Raw genomic sequence first — 26589 nt, 5'->3', positions numbered from 1 at the left:
CCTAGCACTATGGGAGGCTGAGGTGGGCAAATTGCTTGAGCTCAGGAGTTCAAGACCAGCCTGGGCAACATGGTGAAACCCCATCTCTACAAAAAATACAAAAACAATTAGCTGGGCGTGGTAGCGCACACCTATAGTCCCAGATACCTGGGAAGCTGAGGTGGGAGGATCGCCTGAGCCCAGGAGGTCGAGGCTGTAGTGAGCTGAGATCGTGCCACTGCACTCCAGCCTGGGTGACAAAGTGCGACCCCGTCTCAAAATAATAAATAAGAGGGCTGGCCGGGTATGGTGGCTCACACCTGTAATCCTAGCACTTTGGGAGGGCAAGGCGGGCGGATCACCTGAGATCAGGAGTTCGAGACCAGCCTGGCCAACATAGTGAAACCCTGTCTCTACAAAAATACAAAAATTAGCCGGGCATGATGGCAAGTGCCTGTAATCCCAGCTACTCAGGAGGCTGAGGTGGGAGAATCACTTGAACCCAGGAGGTAGAGGTTGCAGTGAGCCGAGATTGTGCCATTGCACTCCAGCCTGGGCGACAGAGCAAGACTGTGTCTCCGGGAGGAGGGGCGGGGTGGGGAAGAGGGGCTGAGTGCCTCTGTTTCACACATTGTTGCAACCAGATAACAATGATTCAAACAATGCTCTCCCCACTTAAAATGTTTCCTATTTTTTTTTAATTTAAAGTTTAAAAGGTTAAAAGTCGAAAAGTTTTACATTTGGAGTTTAAAAGGTTAGCTATACAATCTGAATAACCAAAGAGCATCTGTACTTAAATCACATTCATCCATCTTCTATCATTGAAGTTTTTAACAATCTCAAATCCTACAGAATATGCCTGTTGAAACTAACAGCACTGTTCAATAAAACAGGCTTCCAAATAAACCGCTGTGAAGGAACAGAAATGGAAGCTGCAAAGAAGCTATTCCTAATCACCTTAAAGCCTCCTTCTAACCATGGTTCTAGGAAACAGACAACAAATTTCAATCTTACATTCCCCCACCCTCTTAATACTAGGAACAAGATGATGCTGGTGTGTTCTAACAATCTAACTTAGCCAGGAAATTTAGCCTTCATCAACTGAGTAGTTTCTGTGTACCAGAACCTAGCATAAGTTCTTTTTTAGATAGGGTCTCGCTCTGTCATCCAGACTGCGGTGCAGTGGCGCAGTCATAGCTCCCTACAACCACAGCTTCCTGGGCTCAAGGGACCCTCCTGCCTCGGACTCCCAAAGTGCTGGGATTACAGGCATGAGCCACCGCACCCAGCCAGTATAAATTCTTTACAAGCACTCCAGATTCAAAATATTTGTGGGTGTGGGTATTAAAAACTCCATTTGATAGAGGCCAACTCCTAGAAAAAGTAACTTGACAAAGTCAGGTCTGTATGACTGCGAAACCTGTGCTTTTAACCACCACGGCTTATAATCTAGTGAAAATTCTTGAGATGGAGAGAATAAATAAATGGATGACTGAGTAAGTGAATAAAAGCACACTAGCTGGGCTTGGTGGCTCATGCCTGTAATTCCAGCACTTTGGGAGGCTGAGGTTGGCAGATCACTTGAGGCCAGAGTTTGAGACCAGCCTGGCCAACGTGGTGAAACCCCATCTCTACAAAAAATATTACAAAAAAATTATCTGGGTGTGGTGATGCATGCCTGTAGTCCCAGCAACTCGAGAGGCTGCAGTGGGAGGATTGCTTGAGCTGGGGAGGTGAAGGCTGCAGTGAGTCAAAATTGTGCCACTGCACTCCAGCCTGGGTGATAGCAGGAGACCCTGTCTCGGAAAAAAAAAAAAAAAAAAAAAAGAAGGCACACTGATCACTGATTATCTGGAGGACTTCCAAAGGTTTCTAAAGGTAATAAAGATCCACTCATATAAAATACCAGGGAACTTTAAATTGGCAAAGAGAATAATGGGGCACTCTGATAGCTATTTTCAAATAGCTATAGAGCTACCTATTGACTATAGAGCAGGCTTCTTTTACATGGCTCCAAAGGGTCACATTGGGAGCGATAAGAGAGACGGAAGGCTAACTGAGACAACTGCTCCTATCTCTTTCACCTCAAAGAGCCCCAGATTTAGTTCAATCCTTCCATTTACAACAGTGGATGTGGAGGGTAAGCTTTTGCAGTAGCATCACCCCACCTCCTTGCTGAGTGACGTGGATTCAATCTCACTCCCTATTTTTTAAGACAAACTCTGGTTTACAGAATTTCAGAATACCTCCTTGAGATAACTGAAGGCTCTCTAGGGTGTCACAAAATTGGAACTCTTGCAAAATGAATTCTAAACCTTCCTAGTAAGAAAATCAGGGTTTGGGGTGCATGCCAAGAGCTGGGCCAGACTGCTGATAGAAACAACACTTCAGGCATCTGAAGGGTTACTGGGCATATTTCTCATGGAAATGCCATTCTCCTGAGTGGCCTGCCAGATATCTCATGCCCCCAGTCAGACGTGTGTCACTCTTCAGGGAGTTATTGGGTGCACTTTCAGCAACAGGTCCTTGAAAAGGAGAAAGTAACAACACCCAACATCCATCTTCTTCCGGAGGCACTTACCTATTAGCAGGCTGAACTGAAAAAAGCATCTAGCCAGAGGAATTCAATCCCTGAGAACAATCTCCACATGTGTGCCTCTAAGTTTATTTATTTATTTTTACTGAAATGGAGTCTTACTCCGTCACCCAAGCTGGAGTGCCGTAGCGCAATCTTGGCTCACTACAACCTCCGCCTCCTCAGTTCAAGCCATTCTCCTGCCTCAGCCTCCTGAGTAGCTGGGATTATAGGCATGAGCCACCATGCCCAGCAAGTTTTTGTATTTTTAGTAAAGACGGGATTTCACCATGTTGGCCAGGCTGTTCTTGAACTCCTGACTTCCAGTGATCCACCTGCCTTGGCCTCCCAAAGTGCTGGGATTACAGGTGTGAGCCACCGTGCCCGGCCACCTCTTAAGTTTAGAGTCCAACTGGGTCAAAAATGGAACAGAGATTCCCTAGGAGTGGCTGGGCATGGTGGTAGCTGCTCTGCACAATTATTCAAAACTTCACGACCACTCTGCAAGGTAAGGGTTATTTAGACCCATTTTACAGTTGAGAAAACAGAGACTCATGGAGATTCACAGCCAGCACTTAGTGTACGGTGATCTTTGAATGCCAAAGCCCCATGCTCTTTCCCCTGCATGGTCTATCTCCTCCACGAAGAAATGCCACTGCCATACACAAAGGACTGGGCCAGCCTGAAACACCTTCACCTTGGCCTTTTAGACTGATTTTAAAAAAATGAACAACATAGTCCATTGCTTTGTACCTCATAGTTTGCTTAAAAACACACCTGATTTTTGGTCTTGATATTAATCATGGCAAAGTTTATAAATAATAGTTTATGCCCGTGGTGCACTGGGGAGAAATGGTGCCTGGCAACTACCTCTGGTCTCTCGGCTTTTCAGACACAGGGCATAAAGAGGAAACTCCCGACTGTGGCAGAGTAGGAAGCTGCATCTGTCACTGCCTCTGCTCCCCACTCGGCTGTAAGCCCAGTCCACAGACCCTGTCCAAGTCCACTGGGGCAAGAAAAAGAGTAGAATGGAAGCCAGGGGATAGGTAAGAGCCAAAAGAAGGGCCTTCTATCAGCTGGGAAGATGGTTGGGTTCCAGGGCCTGACGTGCAGTGGGCACTCAATGTATTTGCTGAACAAAAACAGTTTCCAATAATGTACTGGGCCAATGTTCCTTTCTATTTTCTCAAATTGAGCTGAGACGCAGACTATCTCTGTGGTAGAGATTCTCATTTCTCCTTACACTGTGCTGCTCACACTAGTGTGTGAGGAGGTGAGGCTCAGAAGGCCTTGTTCATACTTTGGCAGTACTATATCATAAGCCTTTTAAAAACCGCCAGATGAAGTCCTAATTCCCTCTGTAGGTACTGAATGAGGTACAGTTATTTACGTACACATACAACAAATATTCTACTAGGCTAAGTTCCTAGAAGGCAAGAGTCTTGGTTTGTTTTTTTTTAATGAATTTATGAATCACCCCAAGGCCACATAACAAACTGGCAGCAGAGCTAATACTAGGACCAAAGTCGTCTCCCGCCCTCAATGAACTTCCAATCTATTTGGTAACAGAAGACATATCCACAATAAACAAAGCTCATCTAGGTACCACATGAGCAAGTACCAGCTATGCAACAATGGAAAAAGGTAAGAATATTCTATCTTCTGTGGGAACAGCAGGGAGGGCTACTTACTGACCCTACGCTGTCAACTTCAAATATTCTCTTTTGGTCTCCATAAACAACCTTATAAATGTAAAGTTACTTATCTAGATTTTAGAGTCAGAAAATATGTTCACTAGAGTTGTACCATCTAGTATAGCCGTTTAAACCTTTTAAATGCTTGGTAACACATCTAATAAAGGAAATAAAAAACAGAACCCAGCCTGTTGGATTCACTGCCTTTTTTTGTCTTTTTTTTTTTTTTTCAAAGTGCCTGGACACCAGCCCTAGTGATTTTGATTTAACTGGACTGGAAGCAGGTGGGGTGGTGGGGAACCAGGCATCGGAACTCGGTTTTCTAGTTGGTTTTTTGAGACAGCGTCTCACTGTGTTGCCCAGGCTGGAGTGCAATGGTGTAATCATGGCTCACTGCAGCCTCGACCTCCCTGGGCTCAGGTGATTCTCCCATCTCAGCCTCCCAACTAGCTGGGACTACAGGTGTGTGCCACCGCGCCCAGATAATATTTTGTAGAGACGGAGTTTTGCCATGTTGCCCAAGCTAGTTTCAAACTCCTGGGCTCAAGCAATCTGCCAAACTCGGCCTCCCAAAGCATTGGGATTACAAGTGTGAGCCACCATGTCTGGCCTTTTTAAAAAACAGTTAACACCAGCCAGGTGCAGTGACTCATGCCTGTAATCCCAACACTTTGGGAAGCCCAGATGGGAGGACTGCTTAAGGCCAAGAGTTTTGAGACCAGCCTAGAAACATAGTGAGACCCCAACTTTTAAAAAATTTTTTTAATTTTTTTTTTTTTTTGAGATGGAGTTTCGCTCTTGTTGCCCAGGCTGGAGTGCAATGGTGCGATCTTGGTTCACTGCAAACTCCACCTCCTGGGTTCAAGTGATTCTTCTGCCTCAGCCTCCTGAGTAGCTGGGATTAACATATATGTGCCACCAAGCCCGGCTAATTTTGTACTTTTAGTAAAGAGGGGGTTTCTCCATGTTTGTCAGGCTGGTCTTGAACTCCCGACCTCAAGTGATCTGCCCACCTCGGCCTCCCAAAGTGCTGGGATTACAGGTGTGAGCCACTGTGCCCGGCGTTAATGTTTTATGTAAAAAAAAAAAAAAAAAAAAAAAAAAGAGTAACAGGTAACACCATATACGGAATGTAGTCTGGAACATGGACAGTGCCATCTGAATGAGGATGAGAGTGAAATCAATACACAGAGCCCCAGAGGGTCACACCCATGGCTTGCCAAGTTGTGTGGTAGCATACTATGGACTAACTGTAACTGGTAGAGTCTTAGAAAATCGGAAAGATTCCATAAGTGGCATTACTACAGCTGTTCCCTAAACCACTTTCTTGCATTCAGTATTCAACATCGTGCCTTTCTGATTGGCAATTATTCTCTTCTATTTCCAAAAGAGTTCCAAAAGGACCTTTTTAATTAAGTTATTTGCTTATGCTCCAAATGTATTCTTGGTTAACCGGTGCTCCCCCTTCTGGGCTCTGAAAAATTCCACGCCCAAGTTTAAAAGAAAACCTGAAGGCAGATGTATTCTTGCTGACAAAATCTATTATTAAAGCACAAATGCTTAGATATGGTCTCCTTCAAGCTGGCAGTTAATACCATGACTCAGTCACTCACCATCTTGGAGCATCTTTATTTACGGATGAACAGGAAGGACCACAAAGTCCTGGCCTTCCTGTCATCCCTAATCTTAAATAATGGAGAAAGAAACGGAGACATGTCATCCTATTGCAGGACCTAACTAAATCCAGACCATAGCTTTTTTTTTTTGAGACCGTCTCCCTCTGTTGCCCAGGCTGGAGTGCAGTGGCATGATCCTGGCTCACTGCAATATCTGCCTCCCGGGTTCAAGAGATTCTCTTGCCTCAGCCTCCCGAGTAGCTGGGATTATAGGCGTCCACCACCACACCTGGCTAATTTTTGTATTTTTTGTAGAGACGGGGTTTCGCCATGTTGGCCAGGCTGGTCTCGAACTCCTGACCTCAAGTGATGTGCCTGCCTCGGCCTCCCAAAGTGCTGGGATTACAGGTGTGACCCACCGCGCCCAGCGCAGACCATAGCTTTTTGTTCTATTAAGGCATGAAGTCTGGTGACCGCGGATCCACCCCCCCGAGAAGACAACTCGTGGCCAGTGTGATCTGGAGCCAAACAGCGAGGAGGGCCCACTAGTTCCAGGTACATTTTCATGAACACTTGCCTGAAGTTCAACACACACTGAATTTGGACTTTCCAACGCTATGGGTCAGTTCTTATTGCTTGCTTCTCTCAAATGCTGTAGAAAATCCATTTGGAAGGCCTTTGCCTTATAAGCAAAGGTGATTCCTGACTAGAGCTGGAATAATTTGAGTCCCTACAAAGGTATTTCAGTATCACCAGGTGGTGGAGGAGACCAAGTTGGCTCAGTGAGGCATCAGCACAATTCCCAGTTCTTTTAAAAACAGATTTGGGTTGCCTATCGTAATTTTTTTTTAAGAACAGGTATGCTGTAAGCTAAGGCAGATAGTTAAAGATAGTCTATTTTTATCACCAAAAACACACTACAGAAGTTCTTCAGGCTTAAAATAAACTGAGAATCGAGTGACACCAGTGAGAAACAATTTCTCAAAGTTCCAGTTGCTATTTCAATGTCTCCATGCCTTTTTTGTCCTCTACTCAACTAGGCTCTGAAGCTAGAAACAAACAGCACCGTGCTGTTCTGGGGGGCAGTGAGGAGAAATGGATTTTTTCAGATAATCAAAGATCTTTTGTTTGAATGAACAAATCGACTGGACTGATTGAGTGGTCTAAATATAGGCACCTGACTGTTGAATATTAGCAACTTTTCTGCAGACTGGATGATGAAAATCCACAGGAAGTGGAAGTCAGAACACCAGGGTTCAGAATCTCAGCTCTTCCACTCAGTGGCTACACTCACTTGGGCAAGGTTTAATCTCTCTGAGCCTTAGTTACCTCAACTCAAAATCAAGGATGAAAAACATCACCTCATTAAGACTGGGAGGAGGAATAAATAAAAAATTGATGTGAAAATGCCTGACACGTACCTGGCACACAGTAAGTATTCAATAAATGCACAAAAACACAAAACCCTTCACGTGGTAGCCACAGCCCTCTATTATTTGGCGTGGGTCCCCCTCACCTCTCCAGAGCAGCCACGCTAAGCTTCTTTCAACTCTTTGAACACATGAAGTTCTTTCAGCTCCATGAAGCTTCCATCCTCACTGACTTTGTCTGCCTCAGCTTCCAAAGTCTCAGCCTTAAATATCATTTCCTTGGGGAGCTTTCCTGATACCGCAGTTTAGGTTAAACTTCCTTGTTACACAATTCCTTAGTATCCTGTACCTTCCCTCTGGTAATATTCAAAATGCATGCAAGTACATGTTTAAAACCTAACATCCCCAAGACTGTAAGCTGGATTAACGTCACTACCACACCTAGGGCACCCAACACAATGCTGGGCATAAAACAAGTGCTCACTGAATGCCCACGCACCGAAATGCATGTCTCCTTCCTAAAAGAATGACTGAACTTCGGCTTGGAAACAAAAGTACCTCGTTTAAAAGACACAATTTTTCCAGGAAACAGAAAATCCAAGGTCAAGTCAGTGTGCCCACCCCATTTTTAAAACCAAGTTATGTATTTGGTCTCAAAGCTCATTGAGTAGGACTATTTCTGAAGCACACACTGAGAGTCTTTCCTAGGCAGGTTACAAAGAGCTCATATTTCATCGCATTCAGCTTGTCTGTCAAAACTCAACATCCCTCCCAGGGGAGCAAGCAGTCCAATTCCCCAGCTGGTTTTTATTCACACTAGAAACTTTAACTCCATTCTAGGCCTCACAAAATGAGAGCTGTGTCCACACAAAGCCACAACAACCAGCCAATTCACTGAATCCAATGAAATAAGCCAATTCACTAGGGGGGGACACAAACTGTCAAACTGGTTACTTGGTGCCTTATAGACCAAACAATGCATGATTGAATTGGTTAGCTTTTCAATAGGTTGTCTTGTCATGTGGTTGCTGCAGTGAGTGAAAGATTTTCTTTATCATTCTGTTTTGTCTTTTTTTTTTTAGCACCAAAATAAGAACACATCAGATAGAAGGGTAAATAGCCAATAATGTCTTCTTTTTAAATCCACAGTCAAACACACCAAACGCAGCCATTTCAGCATGACCAAAAGGCATACTTTGTGGAACAAGGCTCCCCAGCCTGTTTTTTGGCTTTAAAATAAGACCCTGCCGATCCTGATCTCGTCTTTGCAAACGCATGGCACTGGGAGACAGAGACCATGTGCAACAACAACTCTTTACAGACAAAGCCACTATTCATGGACCCTACTGAAGTGCAATCGTAGATTTTCAATTTCATTCAGCTGAGTGCGGAAGGCTCCCACTATGAGGGTGGGTTGCTAAATGGTTCAGCTGGGAAAAGCACCCAGAATGAGAGTCAGCTTTACAGTCTGCACTTTCATGAGGAGAAATGAAAGCGATTCCCTCACTCCGACTCCAGTTTTATAGTAAAGACCTAATCTAGCAAATCAGCCAAGGGCACTGAGTGATTTTTTTCTGTATCACATTGGTACCCAGAGCATAGCTATTTTTTTGTTAGGGTGGTTGCTAGGGTAAGTACCAAGAAAGCAGCTCAGTAATGCATGAGGTTAAAACTTCCAAAAGACGGGACGGATAATGTTGGTCCCTCAAGCCCTCAGCTAGACCAGACAAGTTTTCTCCTTTCTCGGAATACAATATGCATATTTCCACCTTCAAGTCCTTCCTTACCTCATGCCACTGCTTTAGTTCCACTCATTCTCTGGGGTCTAGTTAAATGATGACAGCTGACACTTATCCAGCATGCACTACGCCCGGTGTTCATTTCTCACAACCTGATCAGGAAGGTGCTCCCTCTTTTGCAGAAAGAATGTGGAGAAGTGACTCACATGCCCAAAGTCCAACTAAGGAAGCGGAGGAGCTGGAGTTGACTGTAGCCCAGATTCCCAGAGCCTGAGCTCCTAATCACTACAACCTACTCTAACATAACTAACCCGACATGCCCACACATAGCCTTCCCTGGGCAGGCCACCTATTTTCAGTGGCTGTGTAGGCCTTGCTGCCTCAACTGGGTACTAAGGTCTGGGCAAGAAGGGTCTGTGTCATTTCCCTATGGTGCCTGGCACGCAGGAGGTACTCAGTGTATTTTCCCTTACCAACTGAAATCCTAGTGCCTAGCTGCCCCCTCCCTCCAAATAAATATTGTATTGCTTTGTCATGCCAATAAAAACCAAAGGCCAAATCTCCCACACAGGGGTTGGCTTGGCCCTTCTCTCCCCTGATGGCATCTTGCTTTTCCAGTAAAACAAGTGCCAGTCTGTGTTCCGAACTGCAGCAATTTTAATAGGAGGTTTGCTCTAGCGGCAAAGGATTTGCTCATCTCTGCACTGGGATGACAAAGCAACTACCCTCATTTCAAAGCACCATTTTCCAAGGCAGGAAAAGAAAATTTCACCTTCTAGTCACTCTTTCCAGAGGATACTCCATAACTGACTTCTGGCACGCTATTGCTCTTGGGCCAGAAGTATCATTTTTATTTGACTTGAAGAGGTGTGGCCCACATAGCTAAAGATAGACCGGAAGCCGACCACTTCTTGCACGCTGACCCAGCAACCCGGGGAAGGAAGTCTCAGGTTAGGAAGTGCTCATTACCAGCATGAACACAGCTATCTTAGAGGCACACTGTGATCAGCTGTTTTCTGCTGAGCCTCCACTACAGTGTGTGCTCTTTAAAGCCTGGCTTGCATGGGAATGTGTTTTTAAAGCATCATTTTCAGTAAGTATTAAAAATGTAGCTAGAAGTCAGAATATAGTTATAATTCAGTATGCTATTATGCCACCTTCCTAATTTCCAGGTGTGCAAACACCCCCACAAATTAGAAGACTGTCAGCATTTTTAAGCTGTTCTGGCAACAGTCTTCATTGGGAGAGGAGGAGGAAGAGAAGAAATGTTCAAAATGTTTGGATTCCAGTATCATTAAATAGGTGAGCTCTGGGAAAATACCGGAGGCAAGTCAGGCCGTTTTCTGGCTTCCTAAATAAGCAATGCTTTCCACAGGGTGGCCTCCTACCAACCTTTGGAGGAGAAAACACTGGAGGCAGACAAAGGACTCCATGTAGAAAAGCCAGGCAAAGGAAAATCAGACAGGAGGATGCCTATGGCATTTATTAATAGTCAGCACAGGTGGGGAGGGATACAGAACCACTCTGCCCTTTCTCACACTGCACAGATGAGAAAACTCTGGAAGCTCCTGGTCAGCGGTAATGCAGGAACACTCTCTACTATGGGATGTAGCACAAAGTGGATGCAATTTCTGTGGGAGGGTGATGGCACCCTGTTCCTCCATCTCTCGGGGCCCGCAGGGCTGCCAAACTGGCCTCTGTATTACATTTTACAACAGAGTTGTCAGGATTGTCAGCTCTCAAGACAGCCTGGATTCTAGAACCTTCTGATTTGGTAGGATTTGTAATAATAAAAGTTTCTGGCAATCTTTCTTTCCAGAGGTCCCTGCAGTACTTTCAGACAAGTAACTCTGTTCTCTGTTCTTTCATGGGAGGGAGAGTAGCAAAAGCTTTAACGTGAAAAAATCCTTCTATATATCATAATCTGCTGGTGAAGGATTATTATATAACACAGTTCTGTTGTGGCATGTCACCAAAATGTCTTTTTCTGAAAAAATAAAGAGTATTTATATATATACACATTTTTTTTCCTTTTTCCTTTTTTTTTTTTGAGACAGAGTCTCCCTCTGTTGCCCAAGCTGGAATACAGTGTCGTGAACTTGGCTCACTGCAACCTCTGCCTCCCAGGTTCACGTGATTCTCCTGCCTCAGCCTCCTGAGTAGCTGGGACTATAGGCGCCTGCCACCACGCCCAGCTAATTTTTGTACTTTTTTAGTAGAGATAGGGTTTCACCATGTTGGCCAGGCTGGTCTCAAACTCCTGACCTCAAGAGATCCACCCGCCTCGGCCTCCAAAAGTGCTGGGATTACAGGCGTGAGCCACGGCGCCTGGCCTGTAAAGAGTATTTCAGTATTTCTAAATCAGCCTTGGCAATTGGGGGTGGGGGGGAAGAGTATTTCTCCCTACTCCAAATGGAAAAAAAAAAGAAAAAGAAAAAGTTGAGAAACGCTTTTTCTTTCTCAAAGCCTAAACCCAAGGGGACAGAGTACTGCTTACAGCTCTCTGCCCTGCAGACTACAAACTACAATTCTACGCAGGATAAGAGACTTCATCTGCAGCCGGGCGCGGTGGCTCACGCCTATAGTCCCAAAACTTTGGGAGACCAAGGCGGGCGGATCACGATGTCAGGAGATGGAGACCATCCTGGCTAACACGGTGAAACCCCGTCTCTACTAAAAAATAAAATAAAATAAAAAAATTAGCTGGGCACGGTGGCGGGCGCCTGTAGTCCCAGCTACTCAGCAGGCTGAGGCAGGAGAATGGCGTGAACCCAGGAGGCGGAGCTTGCAGTGAGCGGAGATCGCGCCACTGCACTCTAGCGTGGGTGACTGAGCGAGACTCCGTCTCAAAAAAAAAAAAAAAAAAAAGAGACTTCATTTGCTCCTGTCTCTACATATGACGAGTAGGCCCAATGTTTATAATGTATACAGTTAACTTTTTCTTTTCTCTCCCTGCACCATTTGTGATCCCTAAATAAAATCCGAGTTTCTGACTGATAGCAGCAGCAACTCCCTTGAAGATAAAATAATAGACTGGATGGTATTCCAATTTAACAAATACGGGACAGGTTTATAACTCTCAGTGGCAAGATTCTCTTTTTTCATTTATGTACTCAAAGACTCGTCACTGATTTGTGTGTGCAAATCATCATCCAATCCTTCACCAATCTCAAATGCAGCAACCTTTACAGATCAGCAAGGGAGGAAGGATCATTTAAGAGATGTATGGATGAAATGTTATGTTTAGCAGTGAGAGACTGCGGCAAGCAGTTTTGAGTTCTGGTGTTTCAGTGAAGGGAGAGCAAGTGTATTGTCACTGCGCTTGGCCACTTGTCAAGACACTGACAAGTTCTGCATTATCTCCTCATTTTGCTAATTAATTAACTATTGTTTTAGGCAACAACAACTCAGACTATCTATCCAAAGTCCTAACTACTTGAGAGCTGCCAATAATGGTAGCTAATTGAGGCACTGCTTTTTTATGTTAAGTCAAATACACACACAGGGCAGTTTTTTTTTTACCAGAATAGGTTGTCCTTGAAAAATCATCATCAATCAACCCTCACCGAGACGCTGTACAAAACACTATGACTAATCCTAGACTGGTGTCTTACCTTAGTGTTCCTCCTTAGGCTGCGAAGAATATTCCTCCTCCGCGGGTCTTCGTCTGTTTCGTATGGAATGACAGCATTGTCCCCTTTATAACCCTGGGATGCCTGATCCTCCTCTTTCTTCCGGATGGGCCCCAGCTCATCATCACTCCCCACGCTGAAGCTGGTCCGGTAACTAGCAAACCGCCCCAGCCGGGTGCATCTCGTCCTGTACAGCACTGGCTTGCTCACGATGGAAACCTTGCGCCCTCGCTCTAGAGAGCTGGTGTCCATTTCACTGTCAGAACCATTCCCGCTGCCGTTGGACTGGGCTTTGTTGATATTCCGAATGGTGATGATTTTGCCTTGGGTGCTGTCATGGGGCACGGAGTATATGTTTTCTTCTTCATTCCTTGGCTTCACCACAGCATCCATGGGTTCAGCATAGTCAGAAGGATCAAACCCATCCTGAGGCAGCCAGGGGCTAGAAGACACAGACTTCCTCTGTCCATCCCTATGGCCTTGGTCTAAATAAGATAGATCCCCCTTTGTAATTTCAAAATGGACAGGAGGCTTTGGTTTGACTGGCGGAGGTACTTTGTTGTTCAGTTTACTCTCAAAATTGCTCATAATGAAAGACAGCCCATCATTTCCCTCCAGTTCCATAGAGAGCTTAGAATGGTCTTTGGACAGAGAAGGCAGTGATGTGTCTTCTCGAAACAGGCTGTAAGATGGCTCGATATCTTCTTCTGAATCCTGCAGGTTTGAGTTGCAGAGCGGTGATCCTGCCCGGGGGGAGTTAAACACCTCTTCGGTGGTGCTACAGGCCTCGGCAGCATTATCGTACATATGAGTAGCCTCGATTATGTTCTTTTTTTCCACCACATCTTTAAAAAATGGGTGAAAGATCTCAAGTTTATGCTGGGGTTGGCTACAGGGGATGCTTGTGAACCTTCCGTCAATTTCTTGAGCAATCTCCTCCCCCTCAGTTAGCTGTTCCCTACTTAAGTCATTGTCCAGGACATCTACAGCGCCATCAGTGAGTGCTACAAGCTGAATAGGGATAATATCCTGCACTTCACAAAGAAAGGCACGTAACATAGCCAAAGAGGCCTTACGTTTGGCTGAATAAAAAACAATGTACCCATGAACCAACCGGCTCTTTCTGATGCTAAAGGAGGAATGGTATGAAAGAACAGACAGTTCAATCCGCTTCTTGTGCAGTCCGATTGGTAGTTCAAGTAAAACAGAGTTGTTGCTTCCACAATGGGAAGATTTACAGGTTTGGGACTGAAGGACAGGAAAAAGTATGTCATCTGCACTAAAAGGATCTCCACACATCAGACACATAACAATTCGCAGATCAACATCAGCCAAATCTTTGATGCTAGCAGTAGAACTGACCAGGTTTAAGTTACGCTTAGAGTCCAGGAGTCCCTTCAAAACTTGACTGATTTGCTTTTCATTAATGTTGCGTCCGTAACCAATGCCAGCAGAAGCAGGGTCGAGAAAGACACACTGAAGTTTGCTAGCAATTTGTTGACCTTGCTGTATTAAGCTATGCAGAGTCTCTCCACTGGTGTCTCCTCTCTTGTTAACCAAAATTAATGTAAGGGGGAGATGGACTAAATGATTATCCCGCCGGCCCAGCGTGGACTCTCTACTCTTCTCTATACTTTCCACTACATAGGATAGCGATTCCTTTGAATTGTAAAGGCAGAGACAGCCGTGGGGCTGAAATGTTGGCGTCTGGAAAGAGTTCACAGGAAGCCTGACATTCCCCTCTATTGGCCTCAGGGAAAGCTCATACATTTTACCATCTATCACATACTTGTCATCATTTGTACAAAGAGCTCGAATCTCATTGGCCAACTCTCGGGCAAGGCCGTCTTTGCCCAATATAACCAAGTTGATTCTATCAATGTTAGGGTCAGAGAGTGAATTTTTCTGATTCCGGTCAGACGGCCGGATAAACCGAGAACTAATCAAGTGCTCAATCTTAGCGTCCACACAAGCTGGGCAGCTGGGGCATGTCTCCTTTGTTGGGTGGTACACAAAATGAATGTGTTTCAGAATAAGGGCATCACGCTCTGCTTGGAGCTTTTGTAATGCTTTAAATCGCTGTTCCTCTCCCAGAACATCCTGAATAACACCCATCTTCTCCTTGCTGGGCTTAGCATCCAGCTCCAGTTCATAAAACAATTCTGAATATTCCAAAAGCAACTCCTGAAATTCTTCCTTTGCTTTATCTATAATTTGCTTTTGGTGTTTGCCATAAATATCCATGTATACAGATTCCTCCAGCCACTGGTAGAAATCCTCATTCATAATAAAACTACGGGCCTCTTCCCAAGGCTTTCCGGGAGTTATGAAAGGAGAAGTCTCCAGGTTTTCTTTAAACGCCCTTCGCATCTCAACTCTTTTCCTTTCGTTCCTCAGCTTCTCTAAGTGGGCCTCGTATAGCTGCTCTGCAGGGACGGTATCCATTAAATCAAAGGGAATCCGTTCGTTTTCCATGTTGTCAATGTGACTGGTGGCATCCCATGGGGTCTCTTCAAGCACAACAAACCACTTCAAGAATTCTGGCTTGGTTTCTAAGAGCTTTTTGGCTTTTATGCAGCTTAGGTGGTCTATTTCATCTAGATTAGGTATAAGAGCTTCAAAAGCTAATGGCAGGGCTGCCAGGTACAGCTTTCTCCTACGCTCGATATGCTCATGCTTGAGGCGGTGGATGTGCTGTAGAAACAGCTTCTTGGCTTTCTGAGTCCCTTCCAGGTAGACATAGTCCTGGTATTCTGGAGAGGCCTGCATCTTTCGGCTGACACTCAGCCAGTTCTCATTGTGGTTTTTCACAATGCGACTCACCAGCCACTCATACTTGTCTTTTGCTGTAGCTATCTGCTGACTCTGCTGCTTGAGAGCTTCAAAATAAGGAATGATTTTTGTCTTTCCCCGACTTTTATCAATGAGTTGCACTAAGGTGCTGAAAGCCAAGTCCACGTTTACATTGGATCTCGCTGAGGTCTCCACAACCTGGAGGTTCTTTTTGCTTAAGGCAAAAGTATGTGCATCTCTAATGTACCGCTCAACACCTTCGTCACACTTAGTCAGGACCACCACTATGGGCTTTTTTGTTTTTGCAAGCTGATTGTAGAGATTGGAGACAAACTTGAGCTGGTCATCAAAGTTCCTATTCATGCCCCTGCTAACATCAATACCAAGAAGAAAACCATCAACCAGCAGCTTTCCGTCTGGCATTTGTTTCTGCTCAAAGTCCTGCTCCAGCCCCAGCTGGTCAGTGCAAAAGTACATGAGTTTTTCAGCTGATGCAAGCTTGGTCGCAGCAGCTCTCTTGATATAGGGCTGCAGGGCCGTGCTTCGATGAGGTTGAAAAGTCTGATCATCAATAAATTCAGTCTGCTCCACAATGTGCATCTTACATTCCACACAATCCTCCAGGGAGCGGCTAACTTCTCCCCAGTAGAGAAAGTGGTCATTATTGACCACTCGCCCTCCAAAGTCACTGGTGCTGAGGACGGAGGTATGGTCCAAGTGAAACTCGTCAGCACTCGGGCGCACGAAGCGGTTGCACAAACAAGACTTTCCAATCCCACACTGGCCCTTTTCCTTCTCGGTCCCAGATAATCCCACCACACTGATGTTGTAGGTGGGAATTCGGACATCTTGCTTTCTTGCCATCATCATCGTCGACACATCCTGCCACGATCAGCCACTTCTGAGATCAGATTAGTGTTTCCAATGGACCAGACAGCTTCCTACATTATTAGTGGGGGTGGGCTGGACATGCAGCAAAAATGCCAGGTCCCATAGTGTTGTATACCAGTATGGTCACTGTTCACCACCTCTCATCGCCAAATAGCCAACATTTCTTCCTAGATGGGGGAAAAAAAAAGAAAACCCATCAGCATCATAATTTTAGAACCAAATTTTAATCAATTAACTACAGTAAAAATTAATTTTTTATTCAACAAATATTTAGTAAACATCTCATGTGTCAGGCCTTGTGCTGGGTGAAGATACAAGAGCAAGTAAGACTCACATCTATGTGTCCCCAGAGAGGTACAATCTAGTCCAGTGGAGGAAAACATAAGTAAACAGTGTGCTAAGTGCTAAAACAAGGGTGTGAGGGCTCCCTGGAAAAAGGGCTGATTCCAGGGTTAGGGCAGGATAGGGACAAAATGAGCCTGGAACATCTTTTTATGCAAGAAAAAAAACGATGGAGCATCTCACAAGGACACAGAAGCCAGCCTGAAGGGGCTCCCACTGGCCAACTCTGGGACAATTTGAGCGCCACAATAATTAAGTATGGTAATGAATTATAAACCCACTGCAAAAACAGGAACCTGGGCCGGGCGTGGTAGCTTACGCCTGTAATCCCAGAACTTTGGGAGGCCATGGTGGGCGGATCACCTGAGGTCAGGAGTTCAAGACCAGTCTGGCCAACATGGTGAAACCCCGTCTGTACTAAAAATACAAAAATTAGCTGGGTGTGGTGACATGTGCCTGTAATCCCAGCTACTTGGGAGGCTGAGGCAGGAGAATCATTTGAACCTGGGAGGCAGTGGTTGTGGTGAGCTGAGATCTCATCACTGCACTCCAGCCTGGGCAACAGAGTAAGACTATCTCAAAACAGCAACAACAACAAAACATGGAAGCAACCCAAAGTATCCACCTACTCATGAATGGATAAGCAAAATGTGATATATACATACAATATAATATTATTCAACCTTTATTTTTATTTTATTTTTTGAGACAGAGTCCTGCTCTGTAGCCCAGGCTGGAGTGCAGTGGTGCGATCTTGGCTCACTGCAACTTCCGTCTCCTGGGTTCAAGTGATTCTCCTTCCTCAGCCTCCCGAGTAGCTGGGATTACAGGCATGCGCCACCGTGCCCAGCTAACTTTTGTATTTTTAGTAGAGACGAGGTTTCACCATGTTGCCCGGGCTGGTTTCAAACTCCTAGGCTCAGGCGATCTGCCTGCCTTGGCCTCTTAAAGTTCTGGGATTACAGGCGTAAGCGATCACGCCTGGCCTATTCAGCCTTTAAAGGGAAGGAAATTCTGACAACATGGCTGAATCTTGATTGTGCTAAGTGAAATAAGCCAGTCACAAAAAGACAAATACTATATGATTCCACTTATATGCAGTACTTAAGAGTAGTCAAACTCATAGAGACAGAAAGTAGAACAGTGGTTGTCAGGGGCTGGGGAAAGTGGGAATGAAAAGTTACTGCTTAATGGGTACAGAGTTTCAGTTTTACAAGATGGAAAGTGTTACAGAAATAGTTGCATAACATGAAAGTATTTAATATCGCTGAACTGTATAGTTAAAAATGATTAAAATGGCAAGTTTTATGTTTTGTGTATTTTAACACAGTAAAAAAAAGATTGAAAAAAAAAAGAAATGCAGGAAGGATAAATCCTCCCAAATAAAATATTTTATCAATGTAAATCTATAAAATCTATCATGTGAAAATGTCTCCACTTTTAGGAAACTGACACCTTAGTATTTTGAGGGGAAGGGCCATAATGTACGTAACTGATCCCACTGGAAAAATTATGTATACAGAAAGAGTAAGAACACAAATGGGGTGGTAAATTGTTAACAACACATGAATCTGAAAAAAAAAAATAGATGAATCTGGGTAAAGCATATAGGATATTCCTTTGTGCTATTTTTACAAGTTTTCAATCATTTCCAAATAAAAAAAAATTAAGTGTGTAAATACGAGATGGTTTCCCTGACAAGAATGCAAGCTCTGTGAGGCCTGTCCCCTGTTTAGTTCTATTCTGTGTCCTCAGCCTATGACACAGTGCTTGACACAAATATTCACTGAAAGAATCAATAACTGAATGATGATTCAGCATATTAAAAGGTCCCCAAGCCCAGCCTTTCAGATTCGGGAAAGCCTTTCTGTAGGAAGTTCCATCTCAGGTGAGACCTGAAGTATGAAGTGCATTTAAGACAGAGGGACAGAGTGTGCACAGACCCTTCCCTCCGCAAAAAAAAGCACTGCCAGTTGGGAGAACCAACTGGAACAAAGTGTGTGTGGGGAAAGAATGGGTAAGATGCATTAGCAAGGAACCAGGGACTGGATCAAACCACTTTAAGAGTTTGGATTCCTTCGCTGGGCGCGGTGGCTCACGCCTGTAATTCCAACACTTTGGGAGGCCGAGGCGGATGCATCACGAGGTCAGGAGATCAAGACCATCCTGGCTAACATGGTGAAACCCCGTCTCCACTGAAAGTACAACAAATTAGCTGGGTGTGGAGGTGGGCACCTGTAGTCCCAGCTACTCAGGAGGCTGAGACAGGAGAATGGAGTGAACCCGGGAGGTGGAGCTTGCAGTGAGCCGAGACACGCCACTGCACTCCAGCCTGTGCGACAGAGCGAGACTCCATCTTAAAAAAAAAAAAAAAAAAAAAAAAGAGTTTGGATTCCTTCCTGAAGGCTATGGGGAACCACAGAATGTGGCCAAAAAAATGGCACCTTAAAGAACCTAAAGTTTTAACAGCTTAAGTTAAACAAACTGTTATGGCTTACAGTCTTTAGCAACTTTCCAGCTACGACAGTTTATGCTGCACTTCAGTTTACTTAGATACTCCAATATAACTGTGCAAGCACTGAACCTGCAGCCAAATGAACATTCTCTCAAGACAATCACAAAGAGGAGAATCTGAAATGAACAGAGCAATTTTCTTCTGAATCTCATTTATGTCTGTAGGAACCTAGGCTTGCCATGACCTCATTATGTTTTTGTAAGCCTATTGCATAAGAAATGCCACTGGAAGTCAGACCACCACGCATTATTCTGACTGACACCAGGGAGCAATGAATGGGAGAGTGCAATTGTCCCCTGTGATGATAACCTCAAAAGGTCACAGACCTTTTCCAAACATCCATAGCTTCCTTCTGATATCCCAGAAAGCCAAACCCTCTATGGAAACAAAATGTGACTAGACGTAGTATGCAAAAACTACATTTTAAAAAGAAAAATCTCAATGACTGTAGGCAATTGCCTCCAGATAATGGCATGTTCCTAAAGATGCCATGTTCTAGAATTCAGCAGGAACAAGCAAGGTATCCACGGGAAAGAAAAACAAACCTTTCGCATCCTCTACTTTTCTAGGCGATTGCTTACATAAACAAAATTATAAGATGCTTATGAATATCTAAAGCATGTTTACACACATCCTCTGAAATACCTAAAGGAAGCATCTGTACACAATCAATTACTCTGTAATATGCACATATAATTTTGTTTCAATCCATGAAGAAACTTAGGTTGAACAGAGCCTCAGACAGGAGTGCTGATGAAGGGTTGAGGAAGTCATGGGTCCTCATCTAACAGAGTCCTTCTCTATCAATTCCTGACCCCAGGGTCTGTCAGGTCTTAAGGTTACCAATCTTGAAATGCAACTTGGTAGCACTGGTCCTACTTAAAGTGACCTCTGCATGCAATTGGCAAGTCATCCCTTGTCTGTGACTCAACTGTTCTCTGTAAAGTGGGTCTAATATTTATCCCTTCACAGAAATCTGAAGGAAAAACAGAACAAAACACCAGCCTGCTCTCAAACCTCAAGAAATAAAGATATTGGCTCTATTTTGAAATGAACTAAAATGTATTATCCATTCAACACCTTGGTTATATTTTTTAATGGCATATTTTCAGTTATTTGAAGGATGCTAAAGAAAGCAACACTCAACTCTGAATAATGTAGAACTGATTATTTTATTTTATGAGATGGAGTCTTGCTCTGTCACCCATGCTGGAGTGCAGTGCTGTAATCATAGCTCACTGCAGCCTCCAACTCCTGGGCTCAAGTGATCCTCCCACTTCAGCATCCCAAGTAGCTGGGACTACAGGTGCAAGCCATCATGCCTGGCTAATTTATTATTATTATTATTATTTAGAAATGGGGTCTTGCTATGTTGCCCAGGCTGGTCTCAAACTCCTGGCCTCAAGCAATCCTCCCACTCACACCTCAGCCTCCCAAAGTGCTGGGATCATAGGCACGAGCCACTGTGCCCAGCCACGACTGTTATTTTTAAACCCAGAATGCTGCTGATCATTAAAATAGCTACAAAAAGTGAAAATCAGCTGGCATGGAAGTGGTTAATTTTGGGACACCTGGTAACTTTCCACTTGTTAGAAACCTAATAAGTTTCTTGGTGTAAGTATACTCTTCTTAGCTTTGATGTCTAGATAATGCAGTTTTACTAGTTCCTCAATTGGACTGAATTACACGGTAAACAAAGACTGTTATAAATCTAAAAACATCTCAAACACTTGGTTTAGAGGAAATAACTTTAAGTGCTTGGTCACAAATACATTCAACTTAGTTCTAAGAGGTGGGTAAAAAAAATTAGCTGAGTCACTAAATTTAATGATCTGAAGGCCACAAAGAAAGAGAAAGTAGGAGACCGGGCATATCCAGACTTCACAATGTCTTTAGAGTTTAAATGTGATGGGAACCAGTGTTCTTAGCAGGCAACTAAGATACACAACAGAATCTGAATGTCCATTCTAATAATTTTCCAGTGCTAATCCTTTTTAAATGGAAGAGTTAAAACAGAGGGGAAAGAAGGATCCTTTAAAAATGGTAATTACTTTTATCTTTGAGCTGTACAGAGATATTTCATTAGAAAAACAGAAACACAGGACTTCAAAGTTTCCCATTTTATGCCAAGAGTCAACTACTTCAGAGAGGAAAATACTTCAGAAGTATTTTGGTTTCTCAGTCACAAATACATGCTGTAATAAAACATAATGCAAATATCTACGTGCCTTCTTCAGACTGTCACCAAGCATCTAGAGTTGTTTGTGATTTGTTTAACCAAGACACAAGGTCCCCACCAGAGTGCCGCAACTGGAAGGTAGAAGGAGGGTGTTTTCTTTTTTAACACCTCTATGAAACACTCAGGGCAAGAAGTGGTAACATTCCCAAGATAGCACACATTTTTGTAGGACCTAGAAATGCCACCGTGATCCCAGATTTACTATGACTGGGAAAGTTCATACTGTCAACAGCTCTATCAGCATACGCCTGGAAGTGTGTGTATCACTCTTCCAACACAGCGTGTGTATCACTCTTCCAACACAGCAACCTCATCCCTCTCTCCCCGAAGTAGGAAATGTTTGTGTGCTCTGTAATCTAGAATGCCCCCTAAGACAAAAATCTTCCACCATTATCCATAATAAAAATGACCATCTCCACCTGAGAATATTCAACAACTTCTGAAAACACACTGAGTTTCAAATAATCACATACAGAACACCACCAACTAGTAACACTGTAAGGAAATAATTTCATACAGAACTACAAGCAAAGGAAGTAAAATACTTGTTATCACAATTTTCCTTAATCTCAATAGGGGAAATAAATGGAAATATACATCGTAACTAACAGAAAGCAAAAAAGCATTCTTCAAACCTCCTTAAAACCTCGTATTTCTCAATATCTTACATTTCTAAGTCTTCAAAGCTATGAGTTCCCATTAGCAGCTGGTTAAAATGTTTGCATTTGGTAGACACTTGAAAAGACTCAGTTGGGGGGTGGGAGGGGTGGAACAAGAAATATATCTATGTAGGAAGCACTTTCCATGTCAGGTAGACATGGAAGTTTTCCAGAGGAATGTATTAATACTTACCAAATAGGCCAGGAAGGATGGGATATAAAAGTTTCAATAAGAAGAGAACACGACCAGGAGCAGTGGCTCATGCCTGTAATCGCAACACTTTGGGAGGCCGAGGTGGGCAGATCACGAAGTCAGGAGATCAAGACCATCCTGGCTAACATGGTGAAATCCTGTCTCTACTAAAAAAAATACAAAAAATTAGCTGGGCGAGGTGGTGGGCACCTGTAGTCCCAGCTACTCAGGAGGCTGAGGCAGGAGAATGGCGTGAACCTGGAAGGCCAGCTTGCAGTGAGCCGAGATCGTGCCACTGCACTCCAGCCTGGGCGACAGAGCAAGACTCTGTCTCAAAAGAAAAAAAAAAAGGAAGAGAACACTGGCCGGGCACGGTGACTCATGCCTGTAATCCCAGCACTTTGGGAGGCCGAGGCAGGTGGATCACCTGAGGTCAGGAGTTTGAGACCAGCCTGGCCATCATGGTAAAACTCCGCCTCTACTACAAATACAAAAATTAGCCAGGCATGGTGGTGGGCGCCAGTAATCCTAGCTACTCGGGAGGCTGAGACAGGAGAATCGCTAGAACCCTAGAGGCAGAGGTTGCAGTGAGCAGAGAGAGTGCCACTGCACTCCAGCCTGGGCAACAAGAGTGAAATTCCGTCTCAAAAAAAAAAAAAAAGAAAAGAAGGGAACACTATTCTCTGGCTTATTAAACCACTGAATTTAAGCAAAACATTTTCTTAAAACCCAATGCTTCCATTTTCATATTAATAAATGCTAAAGTAAATTTTCTTAGGGTTTTTGTTTTTCCTTTTGAATAAAGATAAATTAGAGAAGAAAAGTTGGAAATAGAGTTCAAGGTCCTTATTCATCCAATTCATTCATCTGTAAAATCCAGATGAATTTAGAGAACCTTAATTAGTAATATGCAAAAATGATGTGTTAGGGCATTTAGGTGTAAAAGGGGATTATAATCTTTTTGAATCTGAGTGAGACATAGAGGGCATTTTCATTTTCTGTGTATGATTTGTCAGAATCTGAAGCAATACCCCTATTCTACTCATCTGTTTACCACATGAAGAGTATCTTACAGAAGGATTCCATCAAACTCAACAAGGACAACAGAATCTCTAAAGCTGAGTAAAAGAGAAAGGTCCCCATTTGATAGATCTAGTTATACAGCAGCTAAATTCCCTCCTTTCTGCATATTTCAGAGTGTTAATCATTTTTGTATTACCATAATCTTTGGAATTAAGGACTGAACTGTCCATCACCCAAATCAAATGCATACTCACATAGCAAAGAAAATGTGATGAAACAAAAGGAATGGGTACTGTCTTTGCTGACGAGGATCTTATAATTTACTTGAGATACAATATTTACACTTAAAAAAAATAGCCAAACCATAAGACAATAAATGGTATAGACCATTTCCTGGGATCCAGAGAAAGAAAAACCATTCAATCTGGAGTAAGTGGGAAAGGCATCAGGCAGAAGTAAAATTTGAATTGGTTCTTAAAAGACTGGCAGAGTTTGGAGAGGTGACATAAAAGGCATGAATAATAGTGGCTAAAATGGGAAAGCAATAAACATGTTTTGGGACAGATTGACTGGAAAAGGGTTTCCAAGAATGGGAGACAGAAGATGAGATGGGCAGTCGGGGCTCAGATTATCAACAAGCTGTATGTTTACTCTGAGAATCAAATATGAAAATAATCGAGCAGGGCGCAGTGGCTCACACCTGTAATCCCAGCAGTTTGGGAGGCCAAGGTGGGAGGACTGCTTGAGACCAGGAGTTCAAGACCAGTGAGAACCCTTCTCTACAAAAAATTTAGGCTGGGCATAGTGGTTCACACCTGTAATCCCTACACTTTGGGAGGCTGAGGTGGGTGGATCACTTGAGCTCAGGAGTTCAAGACCAGCCTGGGTAACATGGTAAAACCCTTTCTCTACAAAAAATACAAAAAATTAGCTGGCTGTGGTGATGCATACCTGTTGTCCCAGCTACCGGGGAGGCTGAAGTGGGAGGATCACTTGAGCACAGGAGGCAGAGGTTGCAGTGAGCTGAGACTGCACCACTGCACTCCAGCCTGGGCAACAGAGTGCAACCCTGTCTCAAAAATTTTAAAAATTGGCCAGGTGTGGTGGCTCACGCCTGTAATCCCAGCACTTTGGGAGGCCAAAGTGGGCAGATCACTTGAGGTCAGGAGTCTGAGACCAGCCTGGCCAACATGGTGAAACCCCAAAATACAAAAAAAAAAAAAAATTCGCTGGGTGAGGTGGTGCATGCCATGTAATCCTAGCTACTCAGGAGGCTGAGGTGGGAGGATGGCTTGAACCCAGGAGGCAGATGTTGCAGTGAGCCAAGATCACACTTCTGTACTTCAGCCTGGGCAGCAGAGTGAGACTCTGTCTCAAAAAAAATAAAAGAAAAAAAATAAAAAATTAACCAGGCATGGTGGCATGTGCCTGTGGTCCCAGCTACTTGGAAGGGTGAGGCAGGAGGATCGCTTGAGCCCAGAAGTTTGAGGTTACAGTGATCTATGATCACATCACTGCACTGTAGCCTGGGTGACAGTTAGATACCATCTCAAAATAATAATAATAATCTTTTACCCCGTTGAGTTATTTATTGTTGTACACTGCTACCTTAACTACTCACCCAACAAATTAACACAGTCTAAGGAGTTAATCATCTTACATAAACGAAAACTCCATTTGAATATAGCAATTATATTTCTACCTTTCAGTCCAATGCAAATTAAAATAACAACATTGAGCTGGGTGTGGTGGCTCACACCTGTAGTCCCAGCTACTCAGGGGGCTCAGGTGGGAAGATCACCTGAGCCCAGGAGTTCAAGGCTGCAGTGCACCATTATCACATCTATGAAAAGCCACTTCACTCTAGCCTGGGCAACACAGGAAGACTCCACCTCTAAAAAACATAAAAATAAAATAATAACATTGTGGGGATGGTATGCAAAACCAGGATTTGCCAAGGGGAAAAAAGAAAGTGACATTTGCCCAGAACAGTGTTGGTGGGGTAGTTGTTCCCACTAGTATAGGCTACATACACTTACTCCTACCCAATGTGAGAGGAAGATTTCCTCATAGCCATGGAATCTCACTATGTCCCTAGGGCTCTGGGTACAGGCAGTCTCTGAAATGGGTCATCTGGATCTTTAGAAAGACTGATTTCAGTGTTTGCCTATCTGGTCTTGAAACACGTCGTCTCATGCAACAGATTCTTGGATATTGATTACGCGCATTCAGCTCTCACTATACTCTCTATAAATTCAATGTGCAGCACACTCCAGAAGACCAAAGGAAACCACAAAGGGATCAGTAGACTTTCAAGGGCTAGTAACTCGCATGCCTGTTTTGAAAATAATCTGGCCTAAAGTTTTTTTGTTTTTGTTTTTTAAATATGGTCTTAGTCTGTTCCCCAGGCTGGAGTGCGGTGGTGCAATCACAGCTCACTGCAGCCTCAATCTTCAAGGCTCAGGCAATTCTGCCACCTCAACCTCCTGAGTAGCTGGGACTACAAGCGCATGCCACCACGGCCGGCTAATTTTTAAAATTTTTTTTGTAGAGATGAGGTCTCACTATGTTACCCAGGGTGGTCTTGAACTTCTGTGCTCAAGCGATCCTACCACCTCACCCTCCCAAAGTGTTGGGATTACAGGCGTGAGCCACACCACTCTTGGCTCTAAAGTTAATTTTTAAAGAGTAGCTATGAAAGATTCTCTGACATTCCATTTATAATTTTTGCAAATGTCCCCTCCTGCCCCTCTTGATTTGTCCTCCCCACCTCCATGCAATCCCTGCTTAAAGGTTCTTCTGAATTCCAGGGTGGGAATACAGAACTATGTTGCTACCTTACCATCCTAGCAGCCCACACTAAATACAGCAAGTAGCCCATTTTTCCCCCGCCACAGTTCTCATGCTTCCAGGCTTGCAGAACTCTACAGGCTGGTCCCAAAGAAACAGAATTTCTAAGCTATGTTATCCACAGGATGAAATCAAATTCCCCTGATGAATAAAGGGAGCCGCTTTTAGCCAAAGTACTTCCTTAAGCTTTATCCTTAGCAGCTTTCTACCAGGTAACTATGGAATTCTAATTAAGCTATCTGATCAAAGTATAAGGCAAATATAAACAAAGACAAAATCAAAAGCTAAGAAGTCTTTCTCACTGATTTAGCATAATTTCTGGATTACCTATATTAAGAAAAACAACAACAAAAACCAAGATTCTGATAAGCTGTAAAAATATTCTACGTCAAAGGGAATACAAAACCAAGGCAAATTCGAAATTGGAGGCACTCCAATAAGCCTAGGTATCACAGCATAATTACCATTACCACAGTGAG

At 43.8% G+C, this 26589-nt stretch overlaps 1 protein-coding gene across 3 annotated transcripts in view; it reads right to left on the bottom strand.

The window, feature by feature from the left end:
* Positions 1-26589, bottom strand: part of ARHGAP35 (Rho GTPase activating protein 35) — a 144081-nt gene that overhangs the window by 70134 nt on the left and 47358 nt on the right. For all 3 annotated transcript variants that reach the window (XR_002958305.2, NM_004491.5, XM_024451473.2), the window contains exon 2: positions 12588-16456. Coding sequence is in view for 2 of the 3 variants with exons in the window: in NM_004491.5 (NP_004482.4) it covers positions 12588-16268 (3681 nt within the window). In the remaining variant the exon portion in view is untranslated. The remainder of the gene's footprint in view (positions 1-12587; positions 16457-26589) is intronic.

This window comes from Homo sapiens, chromosome 19, assembly GCF_000001405.40.
Source record: "Homo sapiens chromosome 19, GRCh38.p14 Primary Assembly".
Taxonomy (NCBI): domain Eukaryota; kingdom Metazoa; phylum Chordata; class Mammalia; order Primates; family Hominidae; genus Homo; species Homo sapiens.
This window is presented reverse-complemented; position numbering and strand designations above follow the sequence as displayed.